The 12257-nt window shown below is 48.1% G+C and overlaps 2 protein-coding genes and 1 pseudogene across 5 annotated transcripts in view; 2 read left to right on the plus strand and 1 right to left on the minus strand.

The window, feature by feature from the left end:
• GCNT7 (glucosaminyl (N-acetyl) transferase family member 7) overlaps positions 1–1662 on the minus strand; it is a 34434-nt pseudogene extending 32772 nt beyond the window's left edge. Inside the window, exon 1 of the transcript NR_160308.1 lies at positions 1520–1662. The product of NR_160308.1 is annotated as a glucosaminyl (N-acetyl) transferase family member 7, transcript variant 1, non-coding (transcript). The remainder of the gene's footprint in view (positions 1–1519) is intronic.
• Positions 481–9327, plus strand: FAM209A (family with sequence similarity 209 member A). 3 transcript variants are annotated; one of them, XM_047439965.1, is made up of 6 exons: positions 481–794; positions 1541–1835; positions 1932–2043; positions 2861–2942; positions 6641–6793; positions 9160–9327. In XM_047439965.1, exons 1-2 carry the CDS (start codon positions 546–548, stop codon positions 1805–1807), a joined length of 516 nt encoding a protein of 171 aa, XP_047295921.1. In that variant the 5' UTR covers positions 481–545; the 3' UTR covers positions 1808–1835; positions 1932–2043; positions 2861–2942; positions 6641–6793; positions 9160–9327. The 3 variants fall into 3 exon arrangements, with proteins under 3 accessions (XP_047295921.1, XP_047295920.1, NP_001012989.2); XM_047439964.1 differs by lacking the exon at positions 6641–6793; NM_001012971.4 differs by lacking the exons at positions 1932–2043; positions 2861–2942; positions 6641–6793; positions 9160–9327 and having other exon boundaries at positions 1541–1889.
• On the plus strand, positions 8983–12257 carry FAM209B (family with sequence similarity 209 member B). Its single transcript, NM_001013646.4, has 2 exons — positions 8983–9327; positions 11909–12257. Exons 1-2 carry the CDS (start codon positions 9079–9081, stop codon positions 12173–12175), a joined length of 516 nt encoding a protein of 171 aa, NP_001013668.2. The 5' UTR covers positions 8983–9078; the 3' UTR covers positions 12176–12257.

Raw genomic sequence — 12257 nt, forward strand, 5'->3', positions numbered from 1 at the left:
GTTGCGGTGAGCTAAGATCATTGCACTCCAGTCTGGGCAACAAGAGCAAAATTCCGTCCCCAAAAAAAAACAAAAACAAATTTTTTGTTTGTTTAGTTTGAGCCACATAGGTGGCTCCAAATTTGTAGGTAGCCTGTGGTTTAATATCTTTCTCTCCCGTTTAACTCAGCTCCACGGGGCACATGGCATCTCCCTCTGCTCATCACAATGTCTGGATCAAACAAATGAAAAACAAAAACATGATGGCCTCTCCCAGCAAAGCTCCAGGGTTGGAAAGAGTCCCCTGGCAGGGAATTGGCACCCCGTCGTGCCCATCCTCTCTCTCTGACTGCCTGCTGGAAATGCCCCCATCTCCCTTTGAGTCCTCCTCCCGGGCAACCCCTGTGACCTGTAACCTCTGTCCTGAAATCATCACAATGGCCAGAGTGGCCTCAGCTCAGGGCCTCTGTGACATCACCAAGGGCCTGGCACCAGGTGCCCAGTCTCCCAGTTGCGAGGGCAAGCAAACCCGTCATGAGCAACTCCCTTCCCCATCTCTGCTCACCATGTGGACGCTGAAATCGTCCCTGGTCCTGCTTCTGTGCCTCACCTGCAGCTATGCCTTTATGTTCTCTTCTCTGAGACAGAAAACTAGCGAACCCCAGGGGAAGGTGCAATACGGAGAGCACTTTCGGATTCGGCAGAATCTACCAGAGCACACCCAAGGCTGGCTTGGGAGCAAATGGCTCTGGCTTCTTTTTGTTGTTGTGCCGTTTGTGATACTGCAGTGTCAAAGAGACAGTGAGAAGAATAAGGTAAGGATGGCTCCATTTTTTTTACACCATATTGATTCAATCTCAGGAGTCTCAGGGAAACGGATGTTCTAGTGAGTCTAGACGGCACCGTTGGGTATAATGAACCGACCTCATGGTCCTGGGCAAAGCTGGCAAATTCACTTCCTGATGTATCCTTAGTGAAGACAATTGTCCCCAGATCCACAGATACTGGGACAAAGAGTGGAAAGTGACCTCTGCTTACTGGCTCACAGATTTTCTGGTTAGATGGATTTTTTCAAATGTAGGATAGATTCAAGAACTTATGGTGTGTTTCAGAAAGTCAAAATTATTCACAGGGCCAGATTCACTAGCCCCTGTTTTTTAAATTCTTGCTAGTGTTTGACTTACTACAAAATCCTGAGCTAAATGGAAATGATATCATTATCCCAACAAAATATGAGACTTGTGCTGAAGAGATAAAGATGTAAGGTAGTTTGAGCTGGTCCTCAAAGTGACCACAAACAACTCTTTCAGGTAGAAAAGGAAGGGGAGAGAAAGTGCGTTCTCCCCTAGAAAGACCCAGCACTTCATAATCCTGTGCCCAAACTGATGAGAGCAGGGATCGGCAAACCCTTCCCGTAAAGGGCCAGGGAGGGTGCGAATATCTTCAGCTTTGTGGGCAGTATGGTCTTCTTGCAACTACTCAAGTCTGCTGTTGTAACACGAACTGTGTCAAAACCAACAAAGTTCACAATATTACTGACCTTGAGTATCTTTCCTGACAGGAGCAGAGTCCTCCTGGCCTTCGAGGCGGCCAACTTCACTCTCCATTAAAGAAAAAAAGAAATGCTTCCCCCAACAAAGACTGTGCATTCAATACCTTAATGGAACTCGAGGTGGAGCTTATGAAATTTGTGTCCAAAGTGCGGAATCTTAAACGTGCCATGGCAACAGGTAGTGGCAGTAACCTCAGGCTTCGAAAGTCAGAGATGCCTGCAGATCCATACCATGTCACGATCTGTGAAATATGGGGAGAAGAAAGCTCTAGCTGAATGGATTTGTGTGTCAGGAGAGAAAAAAGTTGAGTGTTGACAAACTGTATGCAAACTAATAAAACTATTCTGAAGAAAAGAACTTCCATGTTTGAGAGCTTGCTTCTTTTCTTTTTTTCACTAGAAGAAAAAGTGAATGGGAGACCAGTAGCCATAGCAGTGATGGTTTTGTTTTTGCCTCTCTCACGTCATCTAGAGCTGTGGGTGGTGAGAAGAACACCGAAAGCTACATAATAGTACGTGATGAGCTCGTGCTTCTGTTCAATGGCCGCGGGTGGACGATGGAGCTAGGGAAATCTGGGATAAGATGCTGACGTCACTTCCATACAAACTCTTGCTCTCTATAGCATCTATTTGTGCAAGATGCAGAACTGCTTTTTATCTTTGATTTATTACAAAAGACAGCATTAATGATAGTTTTAAAATGGTAAAATGATTCAATTAGGAGGGGTGTATTCTAGAGTTATCTGATTCTCTCACCACAAGAGTCCTTTCACTCATTCCCTGTCAAAGGTTCCGTGTATATTGACTTTTCCTTCTACCACACTAGCAGTTACATTTGTCAATAATTGGATTTAAAAAAAAAAAAAGGGGGATGAGGCAGGAGAATCGCTCAAACCCGGGAGGCAGAGGTTGCATTGAGATCGCACCGCTGCACTCCAGCCTGGGTGACAGAGCGAGACTCCATCTCAAAAGAAAAAAACAAAAAGGAGAGGCCCGGCATGGTGGCTCACACCTGTAATCTTAGCCCATTGGGAGGCCGAGGCAGGAGGACTGATTGAGCCTAGGAGTTTGAAACCACCCTGGGCTACATAGTGAGACCCCATCTCTATTATTTTAAATTAACAAGAAAACGGAGAAAAATTCATTCATCCTATGCCATTGGAGTTTTGGATACAAGTGTGCTAACCAGGGGCTCCCAGATTAATTGACATGTTCTTTATCCTACTTATTCAAAATGTGGATATTTTACATGTTACTGTGGCTGATGGCATCTCTGTACATACTTAGGTGCTTGCCTAATGGTGATTTCTATTTTCCTCTCTCCTACAGTGTTTATTGATTGGAATTCTGCTGTAAGAAGAGCTGTTCCTTCGCCGATGATTGATGGATGGGTTTCTGTATGGACTTACAGGTGTGTTTTTTTTTTTGGATTATTTTCTGGCTCCACCTTTCCCACCTTTGGCGTTAGGAGCTGCTTCGGGTTGGCACTTGTGTTCTGTGAGCAAGCCCCTTCCTCTTTTGAGCAATTCCTTACTTTCTGGCAACCCAAGATGCTCCATGCTCATCTGGTTCATTGCCTGCCTTCATCCTGGAATCAGCCACTTCCCCAAGGGGCCAGGTTCCCTTTCTTGGAGAATGGTGACCTGCCCTCCTGCAGCCAGGATCATGACTTATCTTAAAATCCTTCATTTAATTCATCTGCAAAATGTCTCTTGCCACATGAACTGCAGGCCCACAGGTCCCAGGAATGAGTGCATAGGCATCTCTGGGGCCGGTACCCAGTTGACCAGTGCTGTCACCCTCACAAGCATCAAAGTCACCCAGGGCGCAAGGAAGACCAAGACCATGAGGCAGGAGGCCATGGCTTCTGCGGCTGCAGCAGAAGCAGGAGAGGGAGGCAGGGCAGACAGCAGCCCAGATGCCTGGGGCCTCAGGGGAAGGAGGCCCTGCCTCGAAGGCATAGGCGTCCCTCAAGGGTCCCAACCCCGGGCCCTGAAGGGTGGGCAGCATCTTCCCGGGAAGAATATGGTGGCTGGGCATGGTGGCTTATGTCTGTAATCCCAGCACTTTGGGAGGCCAAGGTGGACAGATCACCTGAGGTCAGGAGTTCAAGACCAGCCTGGCCAACATGGTGAAAACCCGTCTCTATCAAAAATACAAAAATTAGCTGGGCATGGTGGAAGACACCTGTAATCCCAGCTACTCAGGAGGCTGAGGCAGGAGAATCACTTGAACCCAGGAGGTGGAGGTGGCAGTGAGCTGAGATTGCACCACTGCACTCCAGCCTGGGCAACAGAGCTAGACTCTGTCTCAAAAAAATAAATAAATAAAAAGAATGGTTACCCAGGTGCGGTGCTGTGCACCTGTGGTCCCAGCTACTTGGGAGGCTAAGGTAGGAGCATCTTTTGGGTCTGGGAGGTCGAGGCTGCAGTGAGCCATGATTGCACCGTAGTGCTACAGCCTGGGTGGTGGCGTGAGACCCTGTCTTCAAAATAAAAATAAAAATAATGTTTGGGGGCTGGGCAAAATGATTCTCACTTGTAATCTTAGCACTATGGGAAATTGGGGAAGGCAGATCACTTGAGCCCAGAGGTTCAAGACCACCCTGCACAACATGGCAAAACCCTCTCTACAAAAAAAAAAAAAAAAAAAAAAAATTAGCCGGGCATGGTTGCATGCACCTGTAGTCCCAGCTACTCAGGAGGTTGAGGTGGGAGGATCCCCTGAGCCCAGGAGGTGGAGGTTGCAGTGAGCTATGATTGCACCACTGCATTCCAGCCTGGGTGACAGAGCCAGACCTTGTGTCCAAAAAAAAAAGTTGGGGTGCTTTAGTCCTTAGGAGTAGTCCTAGGGAAACAGAATCTCTCTCTCTGACTTTCTGTCCTCCTTTCCCTGCCCAAGGTAGGACTCTAATCAGATTGGGAGCCCAAAGACCTCATTCGAGAGGGTCATGCCGCATACCCTAGAGCAAGGAAAGCTGCACAGAGAGACCAAGAGGAATCTGGACAGGCCCTGATGGGTTCCCCAATCAGTCTGTTAATATGAGAGCATATTAATTTTTGGCCCAATCACATTTCTTCATGATTGTGTATCATCCCTGTTTAATGAAGCTGCCATTAAAACCCAAAAGAAGACCCGGCATGGTGGCTCACACCTGTAATCCCAGCACTCTGGGAGGCCGAGGTGGGTGAATCACCTGAGGTCAGGAGTTTGAGACCAACCTGGCCAACATGGTGAAACTCTGTCTCTACTAAAAATACAAAATTAGCCGGGTGCAGTGGTGCCTGCCTGTAATCCCAGCTACTTGGGAGGCTGAGGCAGGAGAATCGCTTGAACCCAGGAGGCGGAGTTTGCAGTGAGCCAATATTGTGCCATTGCACTACAGCCTAAGTGACAGAGTGAGACCGTATTTCAAAAAAAAAGAAAACAAATTATTCTTAGGCTGGGTGTGGTGGCTCACACCTGTAATCCCAGCACTTTGGGAGGCCAAGGTAGGCGGATCACCTGAGGTCAGGAGTTCAAGACCACCCTGGCCAACAAGGTGAAACCCTGTCTCTACTAAAAATACAAAAATTAGCGAAGCATGGTGGTGGGTGCCTGTAATCCCAGCTACTTGGGAGGCTGAGGCAGGAGAATTGCTTGAACCCTGGAGGCGGAGGCTGCAGTGAGCTGAGATTGTGCCATTGCACTCCAGTGGGTGACAGAGTGAGACTCCATCTCAAAAATAATAATAATTAAAAAATAAAAATACAGGCCTGGCACAATGGCTCAGTCCTATAATCCCAGCATTTTGGGAGGCCGAGACAGGTGAATCATCTGAGGTCAGGAATTTGAGACCAGCCTGGCCAACATGGTGAAACCTCATCTCTACTAAAAGTACAAAAATTAGTTGGGTGTGTTGGCGTGTGCCTGTAATCCCAGCTACTCAGGAGGCTGAGGCAGGAGAATCTCTTGAACCCAGGAGGTGGAGGTTGCAGTGAGCCGAGATCACGCCATTGCACTCCAGCCTGGGCAACAGAGACTCCATCTCAAAAAAAGAATAAATAAATAAACAAATAATAAATACAAATACGAAAATTAGGCAGGCGTGATGGCATGCACCTGTAGTCCCAGCTACTCAGGAGGCTGAGGAGTGAGAATCACTTGAACCTGGGAGGCAGAGCTTGCAGTGAGCTGACATAGTGCCCCTGCACTCCAGCCTGGGCGACACAGCAAGACTCTGTCTCAAAACAACAACGACAACAAAAATCCACTCAACCACCCACCCACCCACACACCCATCCATCCAACCATCCACCCATCCATCCATCCATTCATCCATCCACCCACCCACTAACCCATCCATCCATCTACCCACCCACCCATCCACCCTCCCACCCACTCATCCATCCATTCAACAACATACTGAGTATCTACTGTATGCCATTTTGGCAAGGAGCAGGAATGGAGGACAAAGTCATAGGCAGGAAAAGGATTCTGGAAAAGTGGTCCAGGCAGATGTCAGGACAAAGGGAAGAGTTTGCTCAAGTTTGTCATGTGGAGGAGCAGAGAGGACGCTGGCAGGGCAGGTGGGAATGGAGGAAGTTGGGTTTGCTGGGTTGATAAGGGCCAGATCAGACATCATTTTACAGAAGGATTCATTGAACAACTATGGTATGTACCACATGTGTTCTGTTCTTTTTCCCCTAGACTGCTCAGGAGAATTTATTCATTTTTTTTTAGAGACAGAGTCTTGCTCTGTTGCCCAGGTTATAGTGCAATGGCATCATCTGAGCTCATTGCAGCCGCAACTCCTGGGCTCAAGCGATTCTCCTGCCTCAGCCTCCCAAGTAGCTAAGATTACAGGCATGCACCACCACACTCAGCTAATTTTTTTTTTTTTTTTTGTATTTTTAGTGGCGACAGTGTTTCACCATGTTGGTCAGGCTGGTCTCGAACTCCTGACCTCAGATGATCTGCTCACATTGGCTTCCCAAAGTGCTGGGATTACAGGCATGAGCCACTGCCCCTGGCCATAGCTTGTAGAACTTCTTTGTCACTCCACAGAGCTCAGTACAATTTAAGGCACAGCGAGGGTGCCCAGCTGACTCTTGATTATTTCCTATGCAGCATAAAGTTCTGCTCCTCGGGAGTAAATCTGCGAATCAGAGCCTTCCTCAGGAAGATAGCTCTACAGATGACCCAGGGGAACAAGTACAAGCCGTGCATTCCAGCACCCAGGATTTCTTGTTTCATGTCATTTTAAAGAACTCATGGTTTCAGGTATACTGTGGAGTCCTAGGTTCATTCCCAGCCTTGGCCTCAGTTGTCAAGCTAGCTGTTCCTTCTCACTTGGGGGATTCAGCCCCTTCCCATTTTACCCACCAACTCCTAATCATCTCCCCTGCTCTACTCAACCATCTTTTTCTGGACACTCTTCCTGCATAACCTAGTATAGAGCAGTCCCCTTGTGCTCGTCTCTAAAGCTTCCTGTTCTTATCACAATTGTTTTTTCTTCTTTCTTTGTTTTTTTTTTTTTTTTGAGATGGAGTTTCGCTCTTGTTGCCCAGGCTGGAGTGCAATGGCACAATCTCAGCTCACCGCAACCTCTGCCTCCCAGGTTCAAGCAATTCTCCTGCCTCAGCCTCCCGAGTAGCTGGGATTACAGGCATGCACCACCATGCCCAGCTAATTTTTTTGTATTTTTAGTAGAGATGGGGTTTCTCCATGTTGGCTTGGCTGGTCTCAAACTCTCGACCTTAGGTGATCCACCCACCTCACCCTCCCAAGGTGCTGGGATTACAGGCATGAGCCACCGTGCCCGGCCTCTTACCACAATTTTAATCGAACTATACTCTTTTTTCTTTTCTGAAACACAGTCTCACTCTGTCACCCAGGCTGGAGTAGAGTGTCTTGATCTCAGCTCACTGCAACCTCTGCCTCCAAGGTTCAAATGATTCTCCTGCCTCAGCCTCCCAAGTAGCTGAGATTGCAGGCGTGCATTGCCACACCTGGCTAATTTTTGTATTTTTAGTAGAGATGGGGTCTCGCTATGTTAGCCAGATTGGTCTGGAACTCCTCCTGACCTCAGGTGATCTGCCCACCCTGGCCTCCCAAAGTGCTGGGATTACAGGTGTGAGCCCCTGCCCCTGTGCCTGGCCCAATGTATACTCTTTTTTTCTTTTCTTTTCTTTTCTTTTCTTTTTTTTTTTTTTTTTTGAGACTGAGCCCTGCTCTGTTGCCCAGACTGGAGTGCAGTGGCGCCATCTAAGCTCACTGTAACCTCTACTTCCTGGGTTCAAGTGATTCTCCCGTCTCAGCCTCCCAAGTAGCTGGGATTACAGGCACATGCCACCATGCCTGGCTAATTTGTGTATTTTTAGTAGAGATAGGGTTTCACCATGTTGGCCAGGCTGGTCTCAAACTTCTGACCTTGGGTGATCTGCCTACCTTGGCCTCCCAAAGTGCTGGGATTACAAGTGTGAGCCACCAGGCCTGGCTCCAAAGTATACTCTTAACCCAAGGCAGGCACACACTGCTGCTGTCAATGATGGTATGTGGTAATAGGGAGTGGTGGGGACTGTGGAGGGAATATGGCCACAGGATGGATGATTTCACTTGGCTCTAGCAGAAGACTGGTTCTATGACAGTGTGGGCCCAGTGCTTCCAGAACTCTTCATATTTTCTTTTCTTTCTTTTTCTTTTTCTTTTTTTTTTTTTTTTTTTTTTGAGACAGAGTCTTGCTCTGTTGCCAGGCTGGAGTGCAGTGGCGTGATCTCGGCTCATCACAACCTCTGCCTCCTGGGTTCAAGTGATTCTCCTGTCTCAGCCTCCCAAGTAGCTGAGACTACAGGCGTGTGCCACCACATCCAGCTAATTTTTGTATTTTTAGTAAAGACGGGGTTTCACCACGTTGGACAGGATGGTCTCGATCTCTTGACCTCGTAATCTGCCCGCCTCAGCCTCCCAAAGTGCTGGGATTACAGGCGTGAGCTGCCGCGCCCGGCCACGCTCTCATATTTTCAAAGGAAGCCGGAAACCTGGACTTTTAAAGTGAAATACCCACCCCCCACAACATTTAAGTACTGACTAATAATTTTTAGAAACAACATAGGCCAAACAAAACACATAGGTGGCTCCGAGTTTGTAGGTAGCCTGTGGTTTAATATCTTTCTCTCCCATTTAACTCAGCTCCACGGGGCACATGGCATCTCCCTCTGCTCATCATAGTGTTTGGATCAAACAAATGAAAAACAGAAACATGACGGCCTCTACCAGCAAAAGCTCGAGGGTTGGAAAGAGTCCCCTGGCAGGGAATTGGCACCCCGTCGTGCCTATCCTCTCTCTCTGACTGCCTGCTGGAAATGCCCCCATCTCCCTTTGAGTCCTCCTCCCGGGCGACTCCTGTGACCTGTAACCTCTGTCCTGAAATCATCACAATGGCCAGGGTGGCCTCAGCTCAGGGCCTCTGTGACATCACCAAGGGCCTGGCACCAGGTGCCCAGTCTTCCAGTTGCGAGGGCAAGCAAACCCGTCATGAGCAACTCCCTTCCCCATCTCTGCTCACCATGTGGACGCTGAAATCGTCCCTGGTCCTGCTTCTGTGCCTCACCTGCAGCTATGCCTTTATGTTCTCTTCTCTGAGACAGAAAACTAGCGAACCCCAGGGGAAGGTGCCGTGTGGAGAGCACTTTCGGATTCGGCAGAACCTACCAGAGCACACCCAAGGCTGGCTTGGGAGCAAATGGCTCTGGCTTTTGTTTGCTGTTGTGCCGTTTGTGATACTGCAGTGTCAAAGAGACAGTGAGAAGAATAAGGTAAGGATGGCTCCATTTTTTTTACACCATATTGATTCAATCTCAGGAGTCTCAGGGAAACGGATGTTCTAGTGAGTCTAGGCGGCACCGTTGGGTATAATGAACCGACCTCATGGTCCTGGGCAAAGCTGGCAAATTCACTTCCTGATGTATCCTTAGTGAAGACAATAGTCCCCACATCCACAGATATTGGGACAAACAGTGGAAGATGACCTCTAGTTTCTTGGCTCAAAGTTCTTCTGGTTAGATGGATTTTTTCAAATGTAGGATAGATTCAAGAACTCAGCCGGGCGCAGTGGTTCATGCTGTAATCCCATCACTTTGGGAGGCCAGGGCAGGTGGATTGCCTGAGGTCGGGAGTTTGAGAACAGCCTGGCCAACACGGTGAAACCCCATCTCTACTAAAAATACAAAAATTAGCTGGGCATGGCGGCGTGTGTCTGTAATCCCAGCTACTCGGGAGGCTGAGGCAGAAGAATGGCTTGAACCCTGGAGGCAGAGGTTGTGGTGAGCTGAGATCACACTACTGCACTCCTGCATGGGCGACTGAGACTCTGTCTCAAAATAAAGAACTTATGGTGTGTTTTAGAAGGTCAAAATTATATTATTCACAGGGCCAAATTCACTGTTCCCTTGCTTTTTACATTTTTCCTAGTGCTTGACTTACTGAAAATTCCTGAGCTAAATGGAAATGATATCATCCCAACAAAATATGAAACTTCTGTAAGGAGATAAAGGTGTAGGCCGGGCACAGTGGCTCATGCCTGTAATCCCAGAACTTTGGGAGGCCGAGACGGGCAGATCACTTGAGGTCAGGAGATTGAGACCAGCCTGGCCAACATGGTGAAACCTCGTCTTTACTAAAAATACAGAAATTAGGCCAGGCGCGGTGGCTCACCCCTGTAATCCTAGCACTTTGGGAGGCTGAGGCGGGTGAATCACGAGGTCAGGAGTTCGAGACCAGCTGGGCAACATGGTGAAACCCTGTCTCTACTAAAAATACAAAACCTAGCTGGGCGTAGTGGCGGGCGCCTGTAATCCCAGCTACTCGGGAGGCTGAGGCAGGAGAATCACTTGAACCCTGGAGGCAGAGGTGGTAGTGAGCCGAGATGGAGCCACTGCACTCCAGCCCAGGTGACAGAGTGAGACTCTGTCTCAAAAAAAAAAAAAAAAAAAAAAAAAGCTGGGCCCAGTGGCTCATGCCTGTAATCCCAGCACTTTGGGAGGCCGAGGCGGACGGATCATCTGAGGTCAGGAAGTTGAGACCAGCCTGACCAACATGGAGAAAGCCCGTCTCTACTAAAAATACAAAATTAGGCGTAGTGGCGCATGCCTGTAATCCCAGCTACTCGGGAGGCTGAGGCAGGAGAATCGCTTGAACCCGGGAGGTGGAGGTTGCAGTGAGCCGAAACTGCGCCATTGCCCTCCAGCCTGGGCAACAAGAGCAAAACTCTGTCTCAAAAAAAAAAAAAAATACAGAAATTAGCCAGGTGTGGTGGCACACCCCTGTAATCCCAGCTACTCGGGAGACTGAGGCAGGAGAATCACTTGAACCTGGGAGGCAGAGGTTGCAGTGAGCTGAGATCGTGCCACTGCACGCCAGCCTGGGCGACAAAGTGAGACTCTGTCTCAAAAAAAAAAAAAATTAGCTGGTATGGTGGTGGGCACCTGTGGTCCCAGCTACTTGGGAGGCTGAGGCATAAGAGTTGCTTGAACCCCGGCCGGGGGTGGTGGCTCATGCCTGTAATCCCAGCAATTTGGGAAGCCGAGGCGGGTGGATCACCTGAGGTCAGGAGTTCGAGACCAGCCTGGCCAACATGATAAAACCCTGTCTCTACAAAAATACAAAAATTAGCCGGGCATGATGGCGGGTGCCTGTAATCCCAGCTACTCGGGAGGCTGAGGCAGGAGAATAGCTGGAACCTGGGAGGCAGAGGTTGCAGTGAACCGAGATCATGCCACTGCACTCCAGCCTGGGTGACAGGGCAAGATTCCGTCTCACAAAAAAAAAGAATTGCTTGAACCCAGGAAGTGGAGGTTGCGGTGAGCCAAGATCACACCAGCCTGGGTGACAGAGTGAAACTGTGTCTCAAAAAAACAAACAAAAAAAAGAGATGAAGGTGTAAAGTAGTAACAGCTGGGCCTCAAAGTGACCATAAACAATTCTTTCAAGTAGAAGGAGAAAGGGAAAGAAAGCGTATTCTCCCCTAGAAAGACCCAGCATTTCATGATCCTGTGCCCAAACTGATTAGAGGAAGGATTGGCAAACTTTTTCTGTAAAGGGCCAGAGAGTGAATATTTACAGCTTTGTGGGCAGTACGGTCTTCCTTGCAACTACTCAAATCTGCTGTTGTAACATGAAGCAGCCTTAAACAATATAGAAATGAGTGAGCATGACTGTGTGCCAATAAAACTTTATTTACAAAAACAGGTGGAGGGCCAAATTTGGCCATAGTCTGCCAGTGCCTGCACTCGAGCACTGCTAGAACCATCTTTTCTTAAATGAGCCCAACTGTCTTGGAACTGTGTCAAAACCAGCAAAGTCCATGATATTATTGACCTTGAATATCTTTCTTGACAGGAGCAGAGTCCTCCTGGCCTTCGAGGCTTCCCATTTCGCACTCCACTAAAGAAAAATCAAAATGCTTCTCTTTACAAAGACTGTGTATTCAATACCTTAAACGAACTTGAAGTGGAGCTTTTGAAATTTGTGTCCGAAGTGCAGAATCTTAAAGGTGCCATGGCAACAGGCAGTGGCAGTAACCTCAAGCTTCGAAGGTCAGAGATGCCTGCAGATCCATACCATGTCACAATCTGTAAAATATGGGGAGAAGAAAGCTCTAGCTGAATGGATTTGTGTGTCAGGAGAGAAAAAAGTTGAGTGTTGACAAACTGTATGCAAACTAATAAAACTATTCTGAAGAAAAGAA

This window comes from Homo sapiens, chromosome 20, assembly GCF_000001405.40.
Source record: "Homo sapiens chromosome 20, GRCh38.p14 Primary Assembly".
Lineage (NCBI taxonomy): Eukaryota > Metazoa > Chordata > Mammalia > Primates > Hominidae > Homo > Homo sapiens.

Bases quoted from the DNA above. Each gene is read 5' to 3' on its own strand.
- FAM209B (NM_001013646.4), top strand. From the start codon at position 9,079: ATGTGGACGCTGAAATCGTCCCTGGTCCTGCTTCTGTGCCTCACCTGC. The intron at 9,328-11,908 runs GTAAGGATGGCT...CTTTCTTGACAG, and splicing joins GAGACAGTGAGAAGAATAAG to GAGCAGAGTCCTCCTGGCCT.
- FAM209A (XM_047439965.1), top strand. From the start codon at position 546: ATGTGGACGCTGAAATCGTCCCTGGTCCTGCTTCTGTGCCTCACCTGC. The intron at 795-1,540 runs GTAAGGATGGCT...CTTTCCTGACAG, and splicing joins GAGACAGTGAGAAGAATAAG to GAGCAGAGTCCTCCTGGCCT.